We start from the raw sequence: 24338 nt of genomic DNA, 5'->3' as shown, positions 1-24338 counted from the left end.
GACTACAGGCACACACCACCATGCCCAGCTAATTTTTTGTATTTTTAGTAGAGACAGGGTTTCGCCATGTTGGCCAGGCTGGTCTCGAACTCCTGACCTCAGGCAATCCGCCTGCCTCGGCCTCCCAAAGTGCTGGGATTACAGGCATGAGCCACTGCGCCCAGCTCTTCTAGTTCCTTCCTATGCTTTTATACACACACATACATAGCTATATACATATTTTCTTTGACACATAAATGGGATTATACTATTTGAAATGTTTTGAGGCTAGGCACGGTGGCTCATGCCTGTAATCCCAGCACTTTGGGAGGCCGAGGTGGGCGGATCACAAGGTCAGGAGTTTAAGACCAGCCTGACCAAAATGGTGAAACCCCGTCTCTACTAAAGATAAAAAATTAGCTGGGTGTGGTGGCGGACGCCTGTAGTCCCAGCTACTGGGGAGGCTGAGGCAGGAGAATAATTTGAACCCTGGAGGCGGAGGTTGCAGTGAGCCAAGATCTCGCCACCGCATTCCAGCTTGTGTGACAGGATGAGACTCCGTCTCAAAAAAAAAAGAAAGAAATGTTTTGAGACTTGATTTTTTTCAGTGAACTATGTGCTTTAGAGATCTTTCCATGTCAGTAGCTATAGATCTGATTCTTTTCAACTCCATCGAATATAAACATTTAAATTTCCTATTTTCAAACTTAAAGTGATGTGTCTTGCCTTTACATCACTGCACATACAATTTTGTTTCATACATGAATATTTAAGTTTTTGGAAGCAATATTTTGGGTTAAAAGGTGAGTACCTGAATTTAAAACAAAATATTTCTCATTTCAGCCCAAAGGTGCAGACAGAAAGCAAAAAACGGATAGGGAAAAAATGGAGAAACGAACACCTCATGAAAAGGAGAAATATCAGCCTTCCTATGAGACAACCATACTCACAGAGGTAAAAAGATTTCTTTTGGTGACAATTTCAGTTCATAATTTTTAATCTTAAAAATTCATCACTTCCAAACTGGTCAGAATTTACTTCTCCTAAGCCTTGAGGGACACAGTATCACATGGATTCTGTGTCCAGCGGCCTTAACAGGAAGATTGCTTTAGAATTTGGCACGAACCATGCCACTGTCTCTGTGTCCAAGTTATCTTTCCCCAAATTACTCTGGTTTGGTTTGGTTTGCTGCAGGAGCTATTGTGGTGTTCTTTGCTTTGTATACATAAGCACATCTCTTGCCCAAATAGAATTCAGTTTCATCTTGGGCATAAACCACCTTCAATTTTAGGAAGAGCTGTGTGCTGCCTTTGGTTCTGGAACCCACTTATAACCAACAAAAATGGCCTGGGACCGTAGTTTTCTAGACTTATTTCTTTTTAGAAGTCCTATTCTCAGCAGGCCTCCCCACAGGCTCCAAGATGGCGGAAAGAGAAGCAGTGTTCTCTATTGCTTATGGGAGTCTCTGAGGAATTAAGATTTACTAATCAAGATGTGCTATTCAAGTAACAATGTTTTAGTCAAATCCTGGGGTCATATGTGCTCGTTCATTATCTAACTTATCCTTTGTTTTTAGTGTTCTCCATGGCCCGAGATCACGTATGTCAATAACTCCCCATCACCTGGCTTCAACAGTTCCCATAGCAGTTTTTCTCTTGGGGAAGGGTAAGTCTGGGAAATAAAATTGGCTTATATTTGTCCAAAATATATATTCTTTCATTACCTGTTCATAAACAAGATCTTTTTTAAATCAATAAGTATATCTATTTGGTCGTTCTTTGATGGATTTATATATTAACTGAGATTTGGAGTAGCTTCAAAAGAGATCGAAAGAGTTTTATATAGCCCTTTCTTCTCTTTGTGTTCTCCCCTCTCCCTCCTCCTCGTCTTTTTTCCCCCCACTAGAAAGTAGCATTTATGGTCAATTTTTAGTGGTTCAGGGACTGATGATCTGGGCTTTTTGCCTCTCCCTATTACTGCACATCTTGTGGTTATTTCATTTCCTGATCATACTTGCACCAGACAGTGGTCTTTGGGAACTGGAAACAATTGTACAAACACTAAAATTTGTTTTGTTACTTGTTAGGAATACTTCTAACACCTAATTATTATGAATCTTTGATAATTGGGGAAATAAGTTTGAAGATGATGGCTAAAATGAAGTTTTGGAATTATTTATGGGATACATTTAATCTTGCCTTATTATCTTTTACCATAAGAGATAATTGAAAGTTGGTACAGATGCCTACTCCAATTTTAAAAAGTAGCTGTATTATAGTCCAAGCATTTAACATGTATTTCACATAGCCATATTGAAACTTGAAATAGTTAGGCTACCAAATGTGCGAGTATATTGTTTGGTTGCAATGTTTGTGGTTTTGGATTTATTTAGGCTCTATGTCTGACCTACTTTTTAAAGGATTTAATTAAGGTAGCTTAAATATTTAAAACGTAACAATTAAGAATAAAAGTAGGTATTAGTTGTAGAGGGAATACATATAAGTAGGGCCCTAAGATAAGTTAATTACTAAGTTCGAATACCAAATTTGAATTTTGCAGCTAAGGCTAAAAAAGGAAAAAGATCTTTTTTTAAAAGAAAAAAAAATCTTAACATCCACATAGATGATACATTCTACTTATAGGTAATTCCAAATATGATATAGGGTTTAAGAGCTGTGTTTAAAAATTTTTCTCTTCTCTTTGTCGTGTACTTCATACTAGTTAAACTTTTTCTTCCATAAAAGTAGGCATTAGGGAAGAGGGACAATTCATAGACAAAGAACGTATAAAGAAAAACAGGCTGGGCGCGGTGGCTCACACCTGCAATCCCAGCACTTTGGGAAGCCAAGGTGGGCAGATTACGATGTCAGGAGTTCGAGACCAGCCTGGCCAACATGGTGAAACCCCGTCTCTACTAAAAATAAAAAAATTAGCCAGGTGTGGCGGCGGGCGCCTGTAATCCCAGCTACTTGGGAGGCTGAGGCAGGAGAATCGCTTGAAACCAGAGGGCAGAGGTTGCAGTGAGCTGACATCATGCCACTGCGCTCCAGCCTGGGCAAACGAGTGAAACTCCGTCTCAAAAAAAAAAAGAAAAAGAAAAACTGGAGTGTGGAGATAACCCTTGGATCATAAATTAGGCAGCACTAATTTTTGGGGCTACTTTAAAAATAATTTTTTTTGCCGGGCGCGGTGGCTCACGCCTGTAATCCCAGCACTTTGGGAGGCGGAGGCGGGCGGATCACAAGGTCAGGAGATCGAGACCATCCTGGCTAACACAGTGAAACCCTGTCTCTACTAAAAATATAAAAAAATTAGCCGGGTGTAGTGGCAGGCGCCTGTAGTCCCAGCTACTCGGTAGGCTGAGGCAGGAGAATGGCATGAACCCGGGAGGCAGAGGTTGCAGTGAGCCGAGATCATGCCGCTGCACTCCGGCCTGGGCAAGAGAGCGAGACTCCGTCTCAAAAAAAAAAAAAAAATTGTTTTTTATTTTAAATCTGTGTGATGATATTGCATTGCATAAATTTTCTTCCAATATTTTTCTTGTATATGTGTGCATATTTATGTATTTCCTACAGTAGTAATGTATTGATAAAATTTTTTATCCTGATATTTTTCATTTTATTTTTAAATTTTTTTCTTGATAATTATTCTTTCATAATTTTTCATCTTAGTAAATTTATGGTTAAATATTTTTATGCCATAATTTATCTCATCAGTCCCAATTTATTGAAATGTTGATATTTTCTTCAGTTTCCTCAATAATAAGAAAATATTGCTAATGACATAGTTTCTCCCCCTCCTCATAAAGTCTTTAGGTTAAACTAATAGAAAATTAAAGTATTGGGTCAAAGAATAAGAATGTGTTATGAGAGAGCACAGATTTTTTTTTAATCTCTAGCATGAGATTTATTGTGAAGCTGAGGAATGAAATAATGAGCCCCAGCATGTGTCATGGACTCATCCTTTCATTTTAAATGTTTCTTTAGAAATGGTTCACCAAACCACCAGCCAGAGCCACCCCCTCCAGTCACAGATGTAAGTCTAAAGTTGAATGTCAGTTACTTGCAATGTCTGGTAATACTTTGATGACTGTCCAATTCAGTAGAAATGCCCAACTTTTAGGGAGTATTATTCATTCATTCATTAAACAAACATTTATTGAATTTTGACTATGAACCAGATACTGTGCTAGGGACTAAAGATATGAAACAAGTAATGCAGGACCTTTCCATTTGAGCAGCTTATAGTCTAGTGGGGAAGAAAAGGATGGAACTCCTTGAGCATCTTGCATGGTTGGAGAAAGAGAAAACAACTTTCACAAACTAGGCCTGAGTATGGGGTTGTGTGGGGTGTTTGGCTATGTGTTACCTAATGGGGTAACAGACAAATCTATTTGGTTATCTAAAAAACGTGCTCTCCCTTTCAGAACCTCTTACCAACAACCACACCTCAGGAAGCTCAGCAGTGGTTGCATCGAAATCGTTTTTCTACATTCACAAGGCTTTTCACAAACTTCTCAGGTTAAATTTTCTTTTTCTTTTGTTTTCCCTAGCATGAAATTTTCCTTTGCATTCTAGGGCCTCCTGGTATCCATGGGAGAGTTGTGTGTGTATATGTGTATGAGAGATCTTACTGCATTTTTCTGATGAAATGAATTTCATAGAACCCTTAAGACTTTCTCACTAGCTGCAGCTGTGCTGTGAAATACTTAAAAACAAACACTTTTTAGTTTAAATTCAATTTAATTTAAAAATGCTTATTTCATACAACGCTTTTTAAAATGTATATTTCGTAGAGTTTTATCAAGGGGGCATTTGCAGGTAGTCTGAAATTTTCCCCTTGATATCACTATAATTTATTTCATTTACACAATACACTTTTATTTAGCTTTTTTTTTCTTTTTCTTTGAGATGGAATCTCACTCTGTCACCCAGGCTGGAGTGCAGTTGCATGATCTCGGCTCACTGCACCCTCCGTCTCCCAGGTTCAAGTGATTCTCCTGCCTTAGCCTCCTGATTAGCTGGGATTATAGGCACCTACCATCACACCCAGCTAATTTATGTATTTTTAGTAGAGACAGGGTTTCACCATATTGGCCAGGCTGGTCTCGAACTCCTGACCTCAAGTGATCCACCCTTCTTGGCCTCCCAAAGTGCTGGGATTACAGGTATGAGCTGCGGCATCTGGCCTATTTAGCACTTTTTGATGTGGTAGGAATACACAAATGGATGAGGCATACTTCCTGATCAAATAGCCCATTAATCATCTGGTATCCAAAAAAAAAAAAGCACCGAAACAAAACACAACTAATCGAATCAAAATAAAACTCTGAAAAAATGATAAATAGTTGTGATTTTGTAGATAAGTGTTCTGATAGTGACAGTAAGACGTTCATGGGAGGATTGGTGTTAGGGAACATGTGTGACACATGAGGTGAATCCAGGATTTATTTATATATTTATTTTTTGAGACGGAGTCTCACTGTCACCCAGGCTGGAGTGCAGAAGCACAATCTTAGCTCACTGCAACCTCTACCTCCTGGGTTCAAGCGATTCTCCTGCCTCAGCCCCCGAGTAGCTGGGATTACAGGCACCCACCACCACACCCGACTAATTTTTGTATTTTTAATAGAGACAGGGTCTCACCATGTTGGCCAGGCTGGTCTCGAACTCCTGACCTCAAATGATCCACCCTCCTCGACATCCCAAAGTGCTGGGATTACAGGCGTGAGTCACTGCTCCTGGCCCAGGATTTTTTTTTTAAGAGATGGGGTCTTGCTATGTTGCCCACGCCTAACAGTCTTGAACTCCTAACAGTCGATTGGCCTCAACAATCCTCCTACCTCAGCTTCTCGAGTAGCTGGGACTACAGGCATGTTGTGCCCAGCTTAGATAGTGGAAGGTTATTTCAGGCAGAAAGAACAACTTGCTCATTAGACATCATCAGTATGATGAAAGCATAGGGTTAAGTGGGGAGGTTAATTGGGGGGAATTGAGACGGGAGAGGAGCTAGGAGCCAGGTCATGAAGGGCCTTATATGCCATGAAGAAAATTATGGATTGTAACATTCTGGTAATGAGGTGTCCTTATAATACAGCCCATTTTAATAGTCATTAACAAAGAGAATCTTTGCCTTTATCATCCATTTTCTTATATTTATTCCAGGGGCAGATTTATTGAAATTAACTAGAGATGATGTGATCCAAATCTGTGGCCCTGCAGATGGAATCAGACTTTTTAATGCATTAAAAGGCCGGTATGTAATTAGTGTTAAAATATCAATAAGGTTGGGATTCCAAATGGATTTGGATTCAGGAATTCTTCACAATACTCTACACAGCTAAATACACCTTCTCAAAACATTTGTTTTAAATGTCAGCTATGTACCAAATAAAGATTTTAGAAAAATGTTTTCTTGCACTTTGTCCAAGGAATTCCCCATGATATTCCATTTTTCATTTCCAGGTGAATGAATTTTCCAATGAAAATTCATCATCCTTTTCATGAGCCAGGTACTATTGTAGGCTCTGGGAATATTAATATATTGGTGAGCAAAACAGGGTGCCCATTGTTAGGGAGTTTACTTTCTAATGGGGAGTAAGATAATAAATATTGTGGATAGTGATAAGAGCTTTGAAGGAAAACAAAACAAATAAGCAAAAAACAAGGTTGTGGGCTATAGGGTGCCCAGAATATGGTCAGGAAGGGCCTCTCCAAGGAGGGGATACTTAAGCTGAGTTCTGAGAAAGATGCAGCTCTGGAGTCACAGGAAGGGAGACTGTTCTAGGCAGAAGGAACAACAGGTGCAAAGGTCCCAAGTTGGTTTTAACTGGAGAAGTGGTCATTCTTAAATGTGGGTGGGAATTACTTTTTTTTAATTTTTTTGAAAACAGAGTCTCACTCTTTCGCCCAGACTGGAGTACAGTGGAGCAATCTTGGCTCACTGCAAGCTCCACCTCCCGGGTTCACGCCATTCTCCTGCCTCAGCCTCCCGAGTAGCTGGGACTACAGGCGCCTGCCACCATGCCCAGCTAATTTTTTGTATTTTTTTAGTAGAGACAGGGTTTCACCGTGTTAGCCAGGATGGTCTCGATCTCCTGATCTCGTGATCCACCCGCCTTGGCCTCCCAAAGTGCTGGGATTACAGGCGTGAGCCACCGCACCCGGCAAATGTGGGTAGGAAGTGTCTGCCTGCAATTGTTAAAATACATAGTAATTTGTGGTCCTTTTTTGGGATTTACAATTTTAAATAGGTAGTAGTAACTGATGAAAAAAGCATTTAGGTCAATGGCAACAGAACTAAATCAGTGACTACATAGTAAAACAGAGTGTGCAGTATTTATTTTTGGTTTGCTTTTGTTTTGGGGTTTTTTTCTTCAGACAGGGTCTTGCTCTGTCACCCAGCCTGGAGTGCAGCAATGCAATCATGGCTCACTGCAGCCTCGATTTCCTGGGCTCAAGCCATCCTCCTGCCTAGATCCCTGAGCAGCTGGGACTACAGGCACGCACCACCACGCCCGCCTAATTTTGTACTTTTTGTAGAGGCGGGGTTTTGCCGTGTTCCCCTGGCTGGTCTCAAACTCCTGAGCTCAAGCAATCCTTCTGACTCGCCTTCCTAAAGTGCTGGGATTACAGATGTGAGCCACCGTGCCTGGTCATATTTGTTTTTGTCTACATCATAAGGGATGTTGAATCTTGGAAAATTTTAAGGAAGGAAGTGAAATCAGGGGTTGATGACTTGTGGAAAAATAATTGATCTTTCATTTTTTCAAGCATATTATCTAAAGGGTGTTTAGAAATTGGAAGGAGTAAGATGATCAGATCAAGAGGTAGTTGAATACCTTTCTCTAAGAAGAACAGAGAAAGGACTTAGGCTAGTTAGGAGAAGGTAATGAGAGAAATAAGATGATCTAGTTTACTGTGTTGGCATTTTTTAGTAAAAAGTATATCTTGAACCTGACCCATTAGACGGTGGCTTTTATATTTTGACTATTTCTAACTTTTACACCAAAGGCCACAAACTCAAATGACTATAGAGTACATACAGGTAATGTAAGTGAATGGCAGTCAAGACTGGGGTATAGTGAAGAATATATGCATCATGTAAGAAGAACGGCTGATTGTTTTCATGTGAGAATGCAGGCCTAAGATTGCTAGATCTGAGTCTTCAGGAAAAGCCAAAAGTTCAGAGGTTTATATGATGTCTCATATTGGAACTAATTCCACTTAAGGAAAAAAAAAACCCTACTACTGGGGAACTAATAAAACATAGCAAATTAATTGCATTTGGCCAATGAGCTTCCAATTTTCATCTGCTCTATACGATTAATGTAGAAACACAATTTCTCCCTTCTTTTTATTGTGCTTACCATAAAGAATGTAAGACTAATTAGCCTTTTTCCTCCCCTTAGGATGGTGCGTCCAAGGTTAACCATTTATGTTTGTCAGGAATCACTGCAGTTGAGGGAGCAGCAACAACAGCAGCAGCAACAGCAGCAGAAGCATGAGGATGGAGACTCAAATGGTACTTTCTTCGGTAGGTTGTTCTGGACACACTAGGACAGATATGAAGAAAGGTGAAGAGATAACTTATGGGCATGTGTGATGGGAAACTATCAAACAGCAGATTTAGTATTTGCTAGAAGTAACAATAATCACTAGCATTTATTAAGTTCCTAATACATGGCAGGTGCCATTCTTTTTTTTTTTTTTTGAGACAGAGTCTCACTCAGTTACCCAGGCTGAAGTACAGTGGCACAATCATGACTCATTGCAGCCTTGACCACCTGGGCTCAAGTGATTCTCTCCCCTCAGCCTACCGAGTAGCTAGAACTAAAGCTACTCATTTGCCTAATTGTTTTATTTATTGTAGAGATGGGATCTCCCTATGTTGCCCAGGCTGGTCTTGAACTCCTGGGCTCAAGCGATCTCCCTGCCTCAGCCTCCCAAATTGCTGGGACTATAGGTGTAAACCACTACACCCAGCCAGGTACTATTCTTAACACTTTTTATATGCTTTAATATTTACAACTAATATCTCCTCTTTGCGGAGGATTTTACTGTTATCTCCGGTATTTATGCAAGAAAAATCAGGCCTAGGAATGTTAAATAACTTGCCCTAGGTCACACAGCTGCAAGTGGTTGAGCCAGGATTTGAACTTAGGCAGTGTGATTTCTGAGTCCTTCAGAAAAGTGGGCATTCCTAGTGATCAAGTTACCTGTAAGAGTGGACAAACTTTGTACTGACTGCTGTTGCTCTCTCCCTTTTGCAGTTTACCATGCTATCTATCTAGAAGAACTAACAGCTGTTGAATTGACAGAAAAAATTGCTCAGCTTTTCAGCATTTCCCCTTGCCAGATCAGCCAGATTTACAAGCAGGGGCCAACAGGAATTCATGTGCTCATCAGTGATGAGGTAGATTTTTCAGTACAGTTGAATTACCAGATGATGATTAATTTGTCAGCGCATGGAGCAAGAGCAGTTCTCCTGGGGCAGAGTGTTCTGTTTTCTAGATCAGAGGGTTTCATACTTTTTTGCTTGCTTTCCTCCTAATTTTTTTTTTTTTTGAAACAGTCTCTCTCTGTTGCCCAGGCCGGAGTGCAGTGGCCCAATCTCAGGTCACTGCGACCTCCTCCTCCTGGATTCAAGTGATTCTCCTGTCTCAGCTTCCCGAATAGTGGGAATTACAGGCGTGCGCCACCACGCCTGGCTAATTTTTGTATTTTTAGTAGAGATGGGGTTTTGCCATGTTGGCCAGGTTGGTCTCAAACTCCTGGCCTCAAGTGATCCACCCGCCTCGGCCTCCCAAAGTGGTGGGATTCCAGATGTGAGCCACTGCGCCTGGTCCTAAAATATTTTAAAAACCACATATTCCCATGCACATTTTTAGGTTGACTTAAAATTTTTTGTTAAAGTTTAAATAGTTGTAAAAGATGTCATTTCTGGGCATATATAATGACATTTTTAAGTGAAATGGTTACATCATTATTCTAATTGCATCCCATGTAACCTTAATACAAAAATGATTTAATACCACCACCATCCATTAAAAAAAAATACATGATTGTGCTTTTCTTTAACAGTTAGAATTCTTATACTATTCCTCTGTTTCCTTGAACTCTTATTTTCATTTACTTCCCCCGGTGAATTTTATCTTACTGTAACTTTTTTTTTTTGAGACAGAGTCTCACTCTGTCGCCCAGGCTGTTGTGCGGTGGTGTGATCTCGGCTCACTGCAACCCCGCCTCCTAGGTTCAAGCAATTCTCCTGCCTCAGCCTCCCAAGTAGCTGGTATTACAGGCACCCACCACCATGCCTGGCTAATTTTTGTATTTTTAGTAGAGGCTGGGTTTCACCATGTGGCCAGTCTGGTCTCGAACTCCTGGCCTCAAGTGATCAACCCGCCTCAGCCTCCCGAAGTGCTGGGATTACAGATGTGAACCACCACGCCTGGCCATCTTACCATAACATATTTTTATGCACAAACATCTTTTATTGATTATCCTACTATATTTGTTTGAAATAAAGTTTTTAAATAAAAATTTAAAAATTATTATAATGGAATTATCATAATTATACAATTGATTAAAATAATGTAAATATGCTACATGTTTTAATAAGTAATTATTAAAGATTAAGAAGGCTGCCCAGGCGCAATGGCTCATGCCTGTAAACCCAGCACTTTGGGAGGCTGAGACGGGTGGATCACAAGGTCAGAAGTTCAAGACCATCGTGTCCAAGATGGTGAAACCCCATCTCTACTAAAAATACAAAAATTAGCTGGGCATGATGGCAGGTGCCTATAATCCCAGCTACTTGGGAGGCTGAGGCAGAGAACTGCTTGAACCCGAGAGGCAGAGGTTGCGGTGAGCCAAGATTGCGCCACCGCACTCCAGCCTAGGCGACAGAGCGAGACTTCATCCAAAAAAAGAAAAAAAGAAGGCCAGGCACAGTGGCTCACACCTGTAATCCCAGCACTTTGGGAGGCCGAGGCAAGCAGATCACCTGAGGTCAGGAGTTTGACCAACATAGAGAAACCCTGTCTCTACTAAAATACAAAATTAGCCGGGTGTGGTGGCACGTGCCTATAATCCCACCTACTCAGGAGGCTGAGGCAGGAGAATCCCTTGAACCCAGGAGGCGGAGGTTGCGTGAGCCGAGATGGGGGCATTGCGCTCCAGCCTGGGCAACAAGAGCAAAACTCTGTCTCAGAAAAAAAAAAAAAAATTAAGAAAAAATTATTACAGGTATATCTATGAATGAGTTCGATGAAATTGTTTCGTTCCCTACCTGTACCCTTGCACATAATTATTTCCTTTGTAGCTGAATACTGCCTATTGATTGCTAGAATGACACAGGATTTCAGCATCAATTCCATTCTGTTTTTTTCCTCTAGATATAAATGCTGAGGGACTTGATTCCCATAAATTGATAGGAATGGATGGAATTTTGTAATGACAATGTCATTAGATTATACTTCAGAATTATATACCAGAAATTACATAGTGATATTACCAAAAAATCATTTTGAATCCTCTGTCTTACGACAATTTGTGATTAGGTTACTCTTTAATTCTGGTGAAAGGAAAGAGTTAGAAACCATGTGGCTCATAAAAGGGTCTATTGCTCAGTTATTAGCGTTCACCTTCGCCATTCCACTTTGCCACCTGAAGCTTTCACATCATGGGCCACCTTATTAGGATCCTGGGAGGGTGAAACTCATGCCTTTATCTTGGGAGAAGGGAGTTTATCCCTGGGAGAAGGGAGTTTGAGAAGGGAAAGTGGGGAAGGAAAATTAAAGAGGTTTTAGGAAAGAGCACATATGGGAGTTGAAGACACGGAAGTCAGTTCTCCTGTATGCACATATTTGTGTCCGTGTGCTCCTTGGAGAGTCTTGGGGTTAACCCAGGGAAATGCATACCAGGCTTTAAAACAACTCTTCCAATCTGCTTAGTTTTTTAATATTTAAAAACCAAATGGGAGGGGAGGAAAAAACTTTTATGATCCTAGATATTCAAGAAATACATTATTTGTGACCTGTAAAGCCTCCCATATAAATCCCTCTGGATGTGGGGTAGTCCTTAGGGACACAGGAATATAAAGGGGTTGTTTTTCATTTAAATAATCACAAATTTTCTTGCATTTTTCAGATGATACAGAACTTTCAGGAAGAAGCATGTTTTATTCTGGACACAATGAAAGGTAATAGTAAGACAAACATCTTTCTCTAAGCAGTTTAACAGCTTTACTACTACTAGGCAAAGTACATACTTCTTTGAGGAGAGATAGGAAAAGTAACCATATTTGGGTAAAGAAAGTGACAATATTAGAGATTGTTCCTTTTTTTAAGTTGGCTTTTTTTTTTTTTTTTTTTTTTGAAACAGAGTCTCGATCTGTTGCCCAGGCTGGAGTGCAGTGGCATGATCTCGGCTCACTACAACCTTCGCTTCCCAAGTTCAAGTGATTCTCCTCCCTCTGCCTCCCAAGTAGCTGGGATTACAGGCACGTGCCACCATGTCTGGCTAATTTTTGTATTTTTAGTAGAGATGGGTTTCACCTTGTTGGCCAGGCTGGTCTCGAACTCCTGACCTCAAGCGATCCACCCACCTTGGCCTCCCAAAGTGCTGGGATTACAGACATGAGCCACTGTGCCTGGCCCAGCTTTTTGCCATTCTCTTCCATCTTCCATTACAGATGAGGAAATTGAGGCATGTTGTTTTTATAATGCATTTTTTTTGAGACAGAATTTCGCTCTTGTTGCCCAAGCTGGAGTCCAGTGGCGTGATCTCAGCTCACTGCAACCTCCACCTCCCTTTTCTCCCCTTCTCACGAGAATCTTACCATACTTTTTTTCTCCTGCTGTGTTTTAGAGGTGACTAAAGATGATTCTCTCTCTCTCTTTTTTTTAACAGCAGAAACCAATGATAGCTATCATATCATACTGAAGTAGGAGTGCGGCGTTTCGTGCCCAGTGGCTGCTCCTTCCTTCACCTCTGAAAACGGCCCTCTTGAAGGGGGATATGAATGGAGATTTGAAGGTCTGCAAGAACCTGACTCGTCTGACTGTGTGTGGAGGAGTCCAGGCCATGGAGGCAGAATCCTGGCCCTCTGTGTTGGCCCAAGCTCTTGTGGTACACACAGATTACTGCCCAATATGCAGTTCTGCAGCTGTTTTAGTTAAATTTCTGGACCTTGTTGTTGTTAAATATCAGTAGAAACTCTACATAATTTAGAGTGTATGTAGGGCATAATGATGATGGGAATTGTGTGATGTTTAACAGGAAGATCTTAAATTTTGTGATATGGAGCCCTGTAATTTTTTTCTTATATAAAAATGGGTATCTATATTCATAAGACTAGGTCTTCAATCTCTTTGTACTGGTCTCAAATGTACTGGTATCTCTGCTTTTTGCCACAGTTTGTCCCTGAAAACTTTATCAGTGAGGAGAAATACAGAATTTTCCTTTTGGTTCCCCTGTAATACCACAACTAATAGTATTTTCAGCTAACATTTATTGACCAGGCAGTGTGATAAATTTTTTGAATGACCATCTTGTTTAACCCCCTAATCACACTATCTGAAGTAGGTGCTATAGTGACCCCCAACCGAAGATGAGGAAATGGAGACACACAGTGGCTAAGTAGCTTGCTAGGTGCCAGGAGCTGGCAGGCAGTGATGCTGAAATCCAAACCAGGCAATCTGGCCCTCCTTATTCACCCTCTCATACCACCAGTGCTACCCATTATAACCTGTGTTCACTTCGCTTATTACTGTGGCCCTTCTGGTGACTACAACATAACACTGAGTATGAACTGAGGAATTAACCACTGAAAGAGACAAAGCACACCTAAATAATGATGAACAAATCAAGACCTACAAGAAATGAACACATAGATGCTTTTTAAGTGTCATTAGTTATCGGAATCAAAGAATTTGAGGTGGTGACAACTGGGGATTATCTGTAACTCCCCAAATTTACTGTTCTTGAATGACATTCTCAAACTATTTATTAATGAGTTAGTCTCATCCCTGCTTTCTGTTTCCTCTCTCTGCATCTTCTCTTGGCATAGGAAGTTATTTTACTCATGCTATGTTTTTTAATAGAAGCTTTACAAAAAAAGATGCATTCCCTTCCTGTTCACACTCTTACCATGTTTTTGTTCTTCCTTAAGAATGATTGTGTGTGTGTGTGTGTGTGTGTGTAAGTGTGTAAGTGTAACATCATGGGTTTTCTTTCTTCACTTGTAAAGTTTTATCTAGAAATACTTTTACAGGTTATGTTGAGGTACACAAAGATAATGTTCTAAGATTGTGTATTGGATTTGGATTTGTGTGTGTGTGTGTGTGTGTGTGTGTTTAAAGCATTTGATAAGGTTTAAATGTTTTTTATACAGAGATTTTTGTTCATTAAACTCAATCTGCATCATGGTCTAATTTCTCTTGGTTTGAAACAAATTGAAAACTTTGAAACCAAAAAATTAAGTCAATGACTTGTTTAAAACTGACCTGAGCAACTTGTTATATTACACCAAAATGCTTCTTAGTGAATGATTACCAGGTGTCTCCATTTTGAGGAGGAGACGTATCTGGTTGTCTTATATTCCTAGTACTGGTTCTCAACCTCAGTTCTTTCCTCAGCAGGCTGCTATTGGTTTGGATTTTTTTTTTTTTTTTTTTTTTTTTTTTTATGTCTAGGTGTTTGGGTAGGAAAGTTGGACTAGATGCCTTTTTCTTTTTTTTTTTTTTTAATATAGAAATGAGTCTGGGCACCGTGGCTTATGCCTGTAATCCCAACAATTTGGGAGGCTGAGGCAAGCAGATCACTTGAGGCCTGGAGATTAAGACCAGCCTGGCCAACATGGTGAAACCCTGTCTCTACTAAAAATACAAAATTAGCTGGGCGTGGTGGCACACACCTGTAATCCCAGCTACTTGGGAGTCTAAGACATGAGAATTGCTTAAACCTGGGAGGTGGGGTTGCAATGAGTTGAGATCAGGCTGCTGCACTCCAGGCTGGGTGACAGAGCAAGACTGTCTCAAAAAAATTTTTTTTAATAAAATAAAATATAGAAATGAGGTCTCACTGTGTTGCCTGCCAGGTTGGTCTTGAACTCCTGGGCTCAAGTGATCCCCCGTCTCATCTTCCAAAGTGCTGGGAGTACAGGTGTGAGCCACCGTGCCTGGCCAAGACTAGGTGACTTTTTTGTTTTGAGACGGAGTCTCACTCTGTTGCCCAGGCTGGAGTTAAATGGCCTGATCTCAGCTCACTTGCAACCTCTGCCTCCCGGGTTCAAGCAATTCTCCTGCCTCAGCCTCCTGAGTAGCTGGGACTACAGGCACGGACCACCATGCCATGCTAATTTTTCTATTTTTAGTAGAGATGGGGTTTTACTATGTTGGCCAGGCTGGTCTTGAACTCCTGACCTCATGATCCACCCACCTCGGCCTCCCAAAGTGCTGGGATTACAGGTGTGAGCCACCGCACCTGGCCCAAGGCTAGGTGACTTTTAAGGTTTCTTCCAAATCTTTGCATTTGTGACTCTTACTGCAAATGATGCATAAAATTAAATATATAGATGAGGCACAGTGGCTCATGCCTGTAAGCCCAGCACTTTAGGAGGCCAAAATGGGAGGATCACTTTAAGCCAGGTCAGGAGTTCAAGACCAGCCTGGGCAACAAAGTGAGACCCGCCCCCCCATCTCTACAAAAAGTTAAAAAAATTAGCCAGGTATGGCAGTGATTACTTGAGCCTAGGGTTGGAGGCTGCAGTGAGCTGTGATCATGCCACTGCACTGTAGCTTAAGTGACGAAGTAAGACCCCCATCTCAAAGAAAACAAAACAAGAATTATATCTCCCTCTGTCACCCAGGCTGGAGTGCAGTGCCAGTTATAGCTCACTGCAGCCTCAAACTCCCAGGCTCAAGTGATCCTCCTGCCTCAGCCTCCCAAGTAGCTAGGACTACAGGCACACACCACGAAGCCCTGCTAATGTTTTTTTGTAGAGACAGGATCTTACCATGTTGCCAACCTAGTCTTGAACTCCTGGCCTCAAGCAGTCCTCCTGCCTTGGCCTCCCAAAGTGTTGAGATTACAGGCATGAGCCACCACGCCTGGCCTTTATTAATATATTGACTATAAATTACACTTAACTATTTTTACCTGAAGTCAGGGTTTTTTAGAGTAGTCTTCGAATTTATGGAAATGAACTTATACAACTTTGAAATTATAGATCCTTAAATTTACCAGAAAATCTCTTAGGCTTTCTTTAGCTACAAAAAATTTTTATTGTGCCAGTGATGTATAATTGGTAAGAATTGGCATAGTGCTAGAACACTGTAATTATTCAGTTTGCTTTAAAACATTGCATATGTTCACTAATAATCCTTTCAATTAAGTGAAAATTTTATACTAGCTTTTTCATTATGAAAGTAATACACAGAATGATAAATTCAAACAATAAAGAATGGTATCATATAACTTTCCCCCTTACCTCTTAGTCCCACTCTGTAGAGGTAATCATTGCAAAGAATTTCCCCCATCACACATGCACACACATACACACACACACACACACACACACACACACACAGATGGGCTCATGTTATACTAATGACCTGCAATTTGATTTTTGTATTTAGCATATCTTGAATATCTTACTATACTAGAATTTTTAGTTCTACATCATTCTTTTTAAAAACTGGTTATTCTGTATGGATGCCATTTAGGTCACATATATTTGAACATGCATCTTTTTTTGTGTGTGCGTGTCACCCAGGCTGGAGCGCAGTGGCACCATCTCAGCTCACTGCAGCCTCTGCCTCCCAGGCTCAAGCGATCCTCCTACCTCAGCCTCCCAAGTACCTGGGGCTACAGGTGTGTGCCACCACACTTGGCTAATTTTGTATTTTTTTGTAGAGACAGGGTCTCCCTATATTGCCCATACTGGTCTTGACCTCCTGGGCTCAAGCATCCTCCTGCCTCAGCCTCCCAAAATGCTGGGATTACAAGTGTGAGCCACCCACCATACCGGCCTAGGCCATTTAGAGAAGAGGCGTAGCATCCTATTTGACTTACCATTGCCTGTACTCCTTTGAAGTATAATAGGTTCCATGTAGAAAAATCTGCTGTATAAAGACTTGATAATTAAAAGGGAGTTATTGCGAAATATTAATAAAAGGGGAGGGAAGTTGTTGCAGGACTCTAAGGATTGAGTAGTCAGTACGTGAAATGTGGCTGTTGAGTAATGAGATTGACTGTTCAATGTTATGGCCCAATGAGAATGTTTGCCCACGTAAATGATTTATTTAAGAAGTCATATAAATGGAGGAAACATGGCTGGGCGTGGTGGCTCACCCCTGTAATCCTAGCGCTTTGGGAGGCTGAGGCGGACAGATCACCTGAGGTCAGGAGTTTGAGATCAGCCTGGCCAACATGGTGAAACTCCGTCTCTGCTAAAAATACAAAAAAAAAAAAAAAATTAGCCGGGCGTGGTAGTGGGTGCCTGGAATCCCAGCTACTCAGGAGGCTGAGGCACAAGAATTGCTTGAACCCAGGAGGTGGAGGTTGCAGTGAGCGGAGGTTGTGCCACTGCACTCCAGCCTGTATGAGAGAGAGAAGAGAGAAAAGAGAGAGAGAAAAAGAAACTGACTCTATCTAAAAAAAGAAATTTTAAAAAGACAACCCAAGACGTGACAAAAAAGTAAGGTCCACATGAAGGGGCTGAAGTTCTGATTCCTGGAAGTCCAGGTACTGGGTATGTTGTGCGGGCAGAGTATGATCTCTGAGCTGGAGGTTCCGGGGGAAGCTTGGCAAGTAAAGAAGGTGTGAGATAATGGCACCAACCATTTCTAATGTATGCATAATGGAGGAGTGTTCTCAAAACCCTGTGTATCCCCACATATTCTGAGAAAGTGTTTTGTATAGGGTTACCGCAGAGATTTGAACTGTCTTGCAAATCACCATGAAGGGCTGAGCAGAGCTTCGGTATTCAGTCTTGAAAGCAATTTAGAGTCCAAATATTTGAAGTCAGGATTGAGCTTCTCCCTCTTGTAGCTTTTTTCTCTGGCCAAACCTAACAATTCCAGATTTGGGGGGACAGGAGAACTGAAATTGAAGAACCATTTTATCATTTTACTGAATTATTGGTCTGCTTCCTTGGTCACGGATGGTTCCTCTACAGGAATTTGATCTGTTATGGCCGCCATGGGTCTTATGAGAACTCCAGTCTCAGTAGGAATGGCACAATTGTCCCACCTAGCTGCCCCATTTATATATATATATATATATTTCTTTTTTTTTCTTTTTTTCCTTTTTTTTTTTTTTGAGACAGAGTCTCTGTCACCCAGGCTGGAGTGCAGTGGCGCGACCTCAGCTCACTGCAACCTCTGCCTCCTGGGTTCAAGCGATCCTCCTGCCTGAGCCTCCTCAGTAGCTGGGATTACAGGTATGTGCCACCACGCCCAGCTAATTTTTATATTTTTAGTAGAGACGGGGTTTCACCGGGTTGGACAAGCTGGTCTCAAACTTCTGACCTCAAGTGATCCACCAGCCTTGACCTCCCAAAGTGTTCGGATTACAGGCATGAGCCACTGCGCCCAGCCTATTTCTTTCTTAGCTTCTTTTTTTGTTTTTAAGAGACAGGGTCCTGCTCTGTTGCCCAGGCTGTGGTGTGATCATAGCACACTGTAGCCTTGAACTCCTAGGCTCAAGTGATCCTCTCGCCTGTCTCCTGAGTAGGTAGGACTACAGGCATGTGCCACCACACCCAACAAATTTGTTTTGTTTTGTTTGAGGCAGGATCTCACTTTGCTGCCTAGGCTGGAGGGCAGTGGCACCATCATAGCTCACTGCAGCCTTGACCTCCTGGGCTCAAGCGATTCTCCCACCTCAGCCATCCAAAGTGCTGGGATTACAGGTATGTGCCACTGTGCCCAGCTCTAATTTTTATTTTTCGTAGAGACAGGATCTTGCCATGTGGTCCTTGCTGATCTGAACTCCTGGCTTCAAGCGAGCCTCCCACCTTAGCCTTCCAAAGTGCTGGGATTATAGGCGTGAGCCACCACACCCAGCCTATATATTATGTCATTAGGAGTAATCCTACATCATTCTGCTTCTCCTGCAAATGCTCTACTTTCTTAGTTGTGAGTTAAGGCTTTCCCTGCTAGAATGCTTGCTTTTAGTTTGTGATTAATTTTTGTTTCATTATACCAACTCCAAAACTTAAATGAGGAAGAATATCCTACCACTGCAAAATGGAGTGAGTTGGGAAAGATGCCCTTTGTGACATGGGAGTAATGCCACCAGCACTGTTTTTTCTGCATACTTTATTTCTCCTTCCTGGTTCTTTTAGTGACCTTGTATTTTATCTTCAACCTTGAATTTTCATCTATTTCCACTTCTTCCTTCTTCTTTTCACGTCTTTGTTCACACATTCTCTACAGCATTTCCCCTGTAGTGTTCCTTGTGAACATAGGCCTAAGCTAAAATCTATCTTGCTTGAAAATTTATTTATTTATTTATTTTTCTTGAGGTGGGGTCTTGCTTTGTCACTCAGACTGGAGTGCAGTGGCACTATCTCGGCTCACTGCAAGCTCTGCCTCCCGAGTTCAAGTGATTCTCCTGCCTCAGACTCCCAAGTAGCTGAGATTACAGGCGCCTGCCACCATGCCCGGCTGATTTTTGTATTTTTAGTAGAGACAGGGTTTCACCATATTGGCCAGGCTGGTCTCGAACTCTTGACCTTGTGATCCACCCACCTGCGCCTCCCAAAGTGCTGGGATTACAGGCATGAACCACCGCGCCTGGCCAAAAATTTCAAGTAAGTCTAGCATTTGCATTTTCAAATTCAGACACTGAAAAGTTTATATGAATTAAAGTTTTCAATTGGATTAATATCAATTATAAGGGAACTTGCTATTTAAACTAATATTATTGTATTATTTGTTGTCTTATTGTACTATTTTTTACTGATATGGTATTTTGGGACATGAGTTATAACTGGTTTACCTATTATGCGAATCTCTGTTTTCATGTATTAGATATGTTTAAGATGAGGTGCACATTTTAATTAATGTAGATTCTTGTTTTCTTTTCCTTTTTTTGTGTGGTGGGAGGACAGAGTTTCACTTTTGTCGCCCAGGCTGGAGTGCAATGGCGCATATGACTTCTTTGGTGTTTGTGCTTTCAGTTTGCTGTGGCACTCTTTTTCTCAGATTTACACATACTGTTCTCTTTTTGTTAGTGTGGAATTAGTCACAAAGAGGTGCCTGTCTCTCTAGATCTGGAATATAATATAATTAAATGTCAATTAGTGAAGTAGCATAACAACTTTAGGGCTAAGTCTACAGATACCTTTTCAGAAAAACAAACACAATGCCTTAGATTTTTATTTTAACTCTTTTTCTCTAAGAATTTCAACATATTATATCCTCTGTCCTATTTATTTTCACCTCTCTGGGGAATGTGTTCTCGTTTATCTTTTGGTGGTAAGAGGTAGTTGATACAGTATATATTTTGGTGTCAGATAGGCCTGCATTCAAATCCCAGATCCTTCTCTTCCTGGATATGACTTTGGACAGAGTAATCTTTCAAGCCTCAATTTTATCATCTTAACCCTATGAATTAAGTATTAAAAAGGAGGTAATACTTAATTCATAGAGTTATTTGAGAGTTTTAAAGGGATTATGAGTGTAAAACAGTTTATACTGAATACTATACACCTGTTCATTAGCTCAATAATCTAAGGATACTACTGACTATAAGATCACCTTCACACACAGTCATAGCTGCAAGACCAAAGTATAAAACACTTCCCAGGGCCAGGCGTGGTGGCTCATGCCTGTAATCCTTGCACTTTGGGAGGCAAAGGCAGGAGGATTGTTTGAACCCAGGAGTCCAAGGCCAGCCTGGGGAACGTGAGACCCCTCTCTCTATTAGAAAAGAAAAAAAAAGGAAGAAAGAAAAGAAAACACTGCTCGGGTCATGATTTTTTTCGTTGTTGTTGTTTTTTGTTTTAGACAGAGTCTCGTTCTGTTGTCCAGGCTGGAGTTCAGTTGCGCAATCTCGGCTCACTGCAACCTCCGCCTTCCTGGGTTCAAGCGATTCTCATGCCTCAACCTTCCAAGTAGCTGGGAGTACAGGCTCGTGCCATCATTCCCAGCTATTTTTAGTAGAGATGGGGTTTCGCCATGTTGGCTGGACTGGTCTTGAACTCCTGGCATCAAGTGATCCACCCACCTTGGCCTCCCCAAGTGCTGGGATTACAGGCCTGAGCCACCGCACCCAGCCTATTATTTTTATTTTTAGAGACAGAGTCTCTGCCGGGTGTGGTGGCTCAGGCCTGTAATCCCAGCACTTGGGGAGGCTGAGGCTGGTGGATTGCTTGAGCACAGGAGTTCGTGACCAGCCTGGGCAACACAGGGAGAACCCCCATCTCTATTTTATTATTTTTTTTAATTAAAAAAGAGAGGGTCTTGTTCTGTCACTCAGGCTGGAGTGCAGTGGCATGAACACAGCTGTCACTGCAGCTTGACCTCCTGTGCTCAAGTGATTCTCCCACCTCAGCCTCCCAAGTAACTGGGATCACAGGTGCATGCCACTGCACCTGGCTAATTTTTAAAAATTTCTTGTGAGACAGAGTCTCCCTCCATGTTGCCCAGGCTGGTCTCAAACTCCTGGGCTCGAGCAATCTTCCCTCCTCAGCCTCCTAAAGTGCTGGGATTACAGGTGTGAGCCACCATGCCTGGCCCAGATGATCTTCTGACTGATCAAGAGCTTATTGCCAAATTGAATTCTGCCGTCTTCTCAAAGGATGTACTAACATTGGTTTGGCTATCTTCTAGTTTGGTGGCATTAACCAATTGAGGTTAATGCATTGGGCACTGGGGCTGATGGTACCCTGATGAATTTCCATGACTGCTGGAACACTGGATGTGTAGGCATATGAGACACTTTTTTAGCATCCTCAACATGGGCATCAGGCTGGTTTTTTGTTACTCAGCCTACTGATTCTATAGAGTGGTCTAGGATAGTTTTCTCTTCCCTTTTGTCTTCTGTATGCACAGGAAGAATGGGATCATGAACCAAACCTTCTACACAACTGAATAGAAAGCTTATGATTAAAAATAGCTAACATTTACACAGCACTGACTGTTGTAAACATTTTCCAATATATCAGCTGTTTAATCTTCACAAAACCCAATGAGATAGACATCGTTATTCCTGGCTTGCAAATGAGGAAGCTAAGGCAGAAAACTTATGTCCCTTGCCCGGGGTCATGCCACTAGTAAGTAGAGGAAGTGGGGTTTATATTCAGGCAGTCTGGCTCCAGGATCAATGCTCTCGATCACTCCAGGATCCATGCTCTTGATCACTCATTATATTGCCTCTGAATTTCAGCAAAGAGAGATGACAAGTGCATGTTACCAAAAGATTGCTTTTTTCTGATCTACTGCTTTTTTATTTTGCAGTGTAGTGTCCTAGCTTCTTGGAGTCTCTGATGTCACCTAGGGGAGAGAACTGAAATTCTTAGCATGTTTTCCCAAGCCATCCAGCCTCTCACTTCTAAAGCTGAGATGGCTTGGTAGCTAGTGGATCTGGCTTCATAGTTTCTTGGTTGCAGTGAAAAATGTACCAGGTTTTGGAACCAGCCTAACGTGAGTTTAAATCCTGCTGTCCATCCATCTATCCAATAAATATCTATCATACTCTTAAATGTCAACTACTAGGCTTTGTACTGTGTGTTGAGGATACAGTAAACAAAACAATTCCTTGCTCTCACCGAATTTAGTCAAGTGAGACAAGACAAAAACAAATACGTGGATGCTAAGAAGAAATATAAGGCACAGGGATAGAAACTAAGGAGAAGCACCATTTTAGAAATATGGTTAGGCATTTGTGCCCGGGAGTTTGAGGCTGCTGTGAGCCGTGATTGCGCCACTGCACTCCAGCCTGGGTGACAGAGTGAAATCCTGTCTCTTAATGCAGGGAAAAAGAAATATGGTTAGGGAAGATCTCGGATATGGGGACATTCGAGCAGATATTATGTGAGGGAGTAAGTATGTGGCTAGCTGGTGGAAGCCAGACAAAAGGCCCTGAGGTAAGAGAATGATTGCCCAGTTGAAGGAGCTGCAATGAGGCCAGTGTATTCAAGCAGAGTATGGAAGGGGGAAAGTAGAAGCAAACAAGATGACAGAACAAAATGAGGGGGCGGGGTGGGGGTCGGGGGACAAGAGAATGCAGCTCGAGCTTGCCGAGCCTTATAGTTCAAGGGAAAGACAACAAAGAAGAAACCAAGGCTATGTGTCCTTGGCAAATCACATACAACTTTTGACTTCTTAATCTTGGTTTTCCCCTTTTTTTTCTTTTTCTTTTTCTTTTTTTTTTTGAGACGGAGTTTCGCTCTTGTTGACCGTGCTGGAGGGCAATGGTGCAGTCTTGGCTCACTGCAACCTCCGCCTCCCGGGTTCAAGCCATTCTCCTGGGTCGGCCTCCCGAGGAGCTGGGATTAAAGGCACGTGCTACCACCCTCGGCTAATTTTTGTATTTTTAGTAGAGACAGGGTTTCACCATGTTGGTCAGGCTGGTCTCGAACTCCTGACCTCATGACCCGCCCGCCTCGGCCTCCCAAAGTGCTGGGATTACAGGCATGAGCCACCGCGCCTGGCGCCCTTTCTTAAAAATAGGTTGCGGAAGGGCGCGGTGGCTCATGCGTATAATCCCAGCACTTTGGGAGGCCGAGGCGGGCGGATCGCCTGGGCCCAGGAGTGCAAGACCAGCCGGGGCAACATGGCGAAAACCCCTTTTCTATTTAAATAAATAAATTAGTTTGCAAAGTTGAGAAGATTTTTTTTTTTTTTTTTTTGAGACGGAGTCTCGCTCTTTCGCCCAGTCTGCAGTGCAGTGGCGCGATCTCGGCTCACTGCAAGCTCCGCCTCCCGGGTTCACGCCATTCTCCTGCCTCAGCCTCCCGAGTAGCTGGGACTACAGGCGCCCGCCACCACGCCCGGCTAATTTTTGTATTTTTTAGTAGAGACGGGGTTTCACCTTGTTAGCCAGGTTGGTCTCGATCTCCTGACCTCGTGATCCGCCCACCTCGGCCTCCCAAAGTGCTGGGATTACAGGCGTGAGCCACCGCGCCCGGCAGCAATTTTTTTTTTTTTAAAGAAAACACTCAAAGCACTCCCTCATATAAGTAGATAACTCAAGATATTGCTTGTATTCTTTATAACCTGCGCAGGCTGCAATAAGTCATATTGCTGAAGACTAAGACCCCATGAGCGAGGAGAAGGGGGGATCATGTTCCTAATGGCGTGTGGTCAGGACACGAAAGAAAAAGGGAGCTTTGGAGGAGAATTCGTT

At 42.0% G+C, this 24338-nt stretch overlaps 1 protein-coding gene and 1 pseudogene across 3 annotated transcripts in view, besides 1 other annotated feature; one reads left to right on the top strand and one right to left on the bottom strand.

Annotated features, from left to right (window-relative positions):
- Positions 1-14513, top strand: part of TFCP2 (transcription factor CP2) — a 79480-nt gene extending 64967 nt beyond the window's left edge. For 2 of the 3 annotated variants that reach the window (NM_001173453.2, NM_001173452.2), the window contains 9 exons: positions 823-933; positions 1556-1644; positions 3966-4014; positions 4406-4499; positions 6144-6234; positions 8390-8514; positions 9251-9393; positions 12129-12180; positions 12894-14413. In NM_001173453.2, coding sequence (NP_001166924.1) covers positions 823-933; positions 1556-1644; positions 3966-4014; positions 4406-4499; positions 6144-6234; positions 8390-8514; positions 9251-9393; positions 12129-12180; positions 12894-12928 — 789 coding nt within the window. In that variant the 3' untranslated portion in view covers positions 12929-14413. Of the gene's footprint in view, positions 1-822; positions 934-1555; positions 1645-3965; positions 4015-4405; positions 4500-6143; positions 6235-8389; positions 8515-9250; positions 9394-12128; positions 12181-12890 lie in introns of all 3 variants that reach the window. The other variant, NM_005653.5, reaches the window with a different exon arrangement.
- RPL35AP29 (ribosomal protein L35a pseudogene 29) lies at positions 1025-1347 on the bottom strand (annotated as a pseudogene).
- Positions 23522-24148: an enhancer, noted in NCBI's record as "H3K4me1 hESC enhancer chr12:51477804-51478430 (GRCh37/hg19 assembly coordinates)". NCBI's record gives its function as "activates a minimal SCP1, AML or CMV promoter by ChIP-STARR-seq in naive H9 embryonic stem cells {active_cell/tissue: H9 hESC(naive)}" and the evidence as "EXISTENCE:reporter gene assay evidence [ECO:0000049][PMID:30033119]".

Source organism: Homo sapiens, chromosome 12 (genome assembly GCF_000001405.40).
Source record: "Homo sapiens chromosome 12, GRCh38.p14 Primary Assembly".
NCBI classification, from domain to species: domain Eukaryota; kingdom Metazoa; phylum Chordata; class Mammalia; order Primates; family Hominidae; genus Homo; species Homo sapiens.
This window is presented reverse-complemented; position numbering and strand designations above follow the sequence as displayed.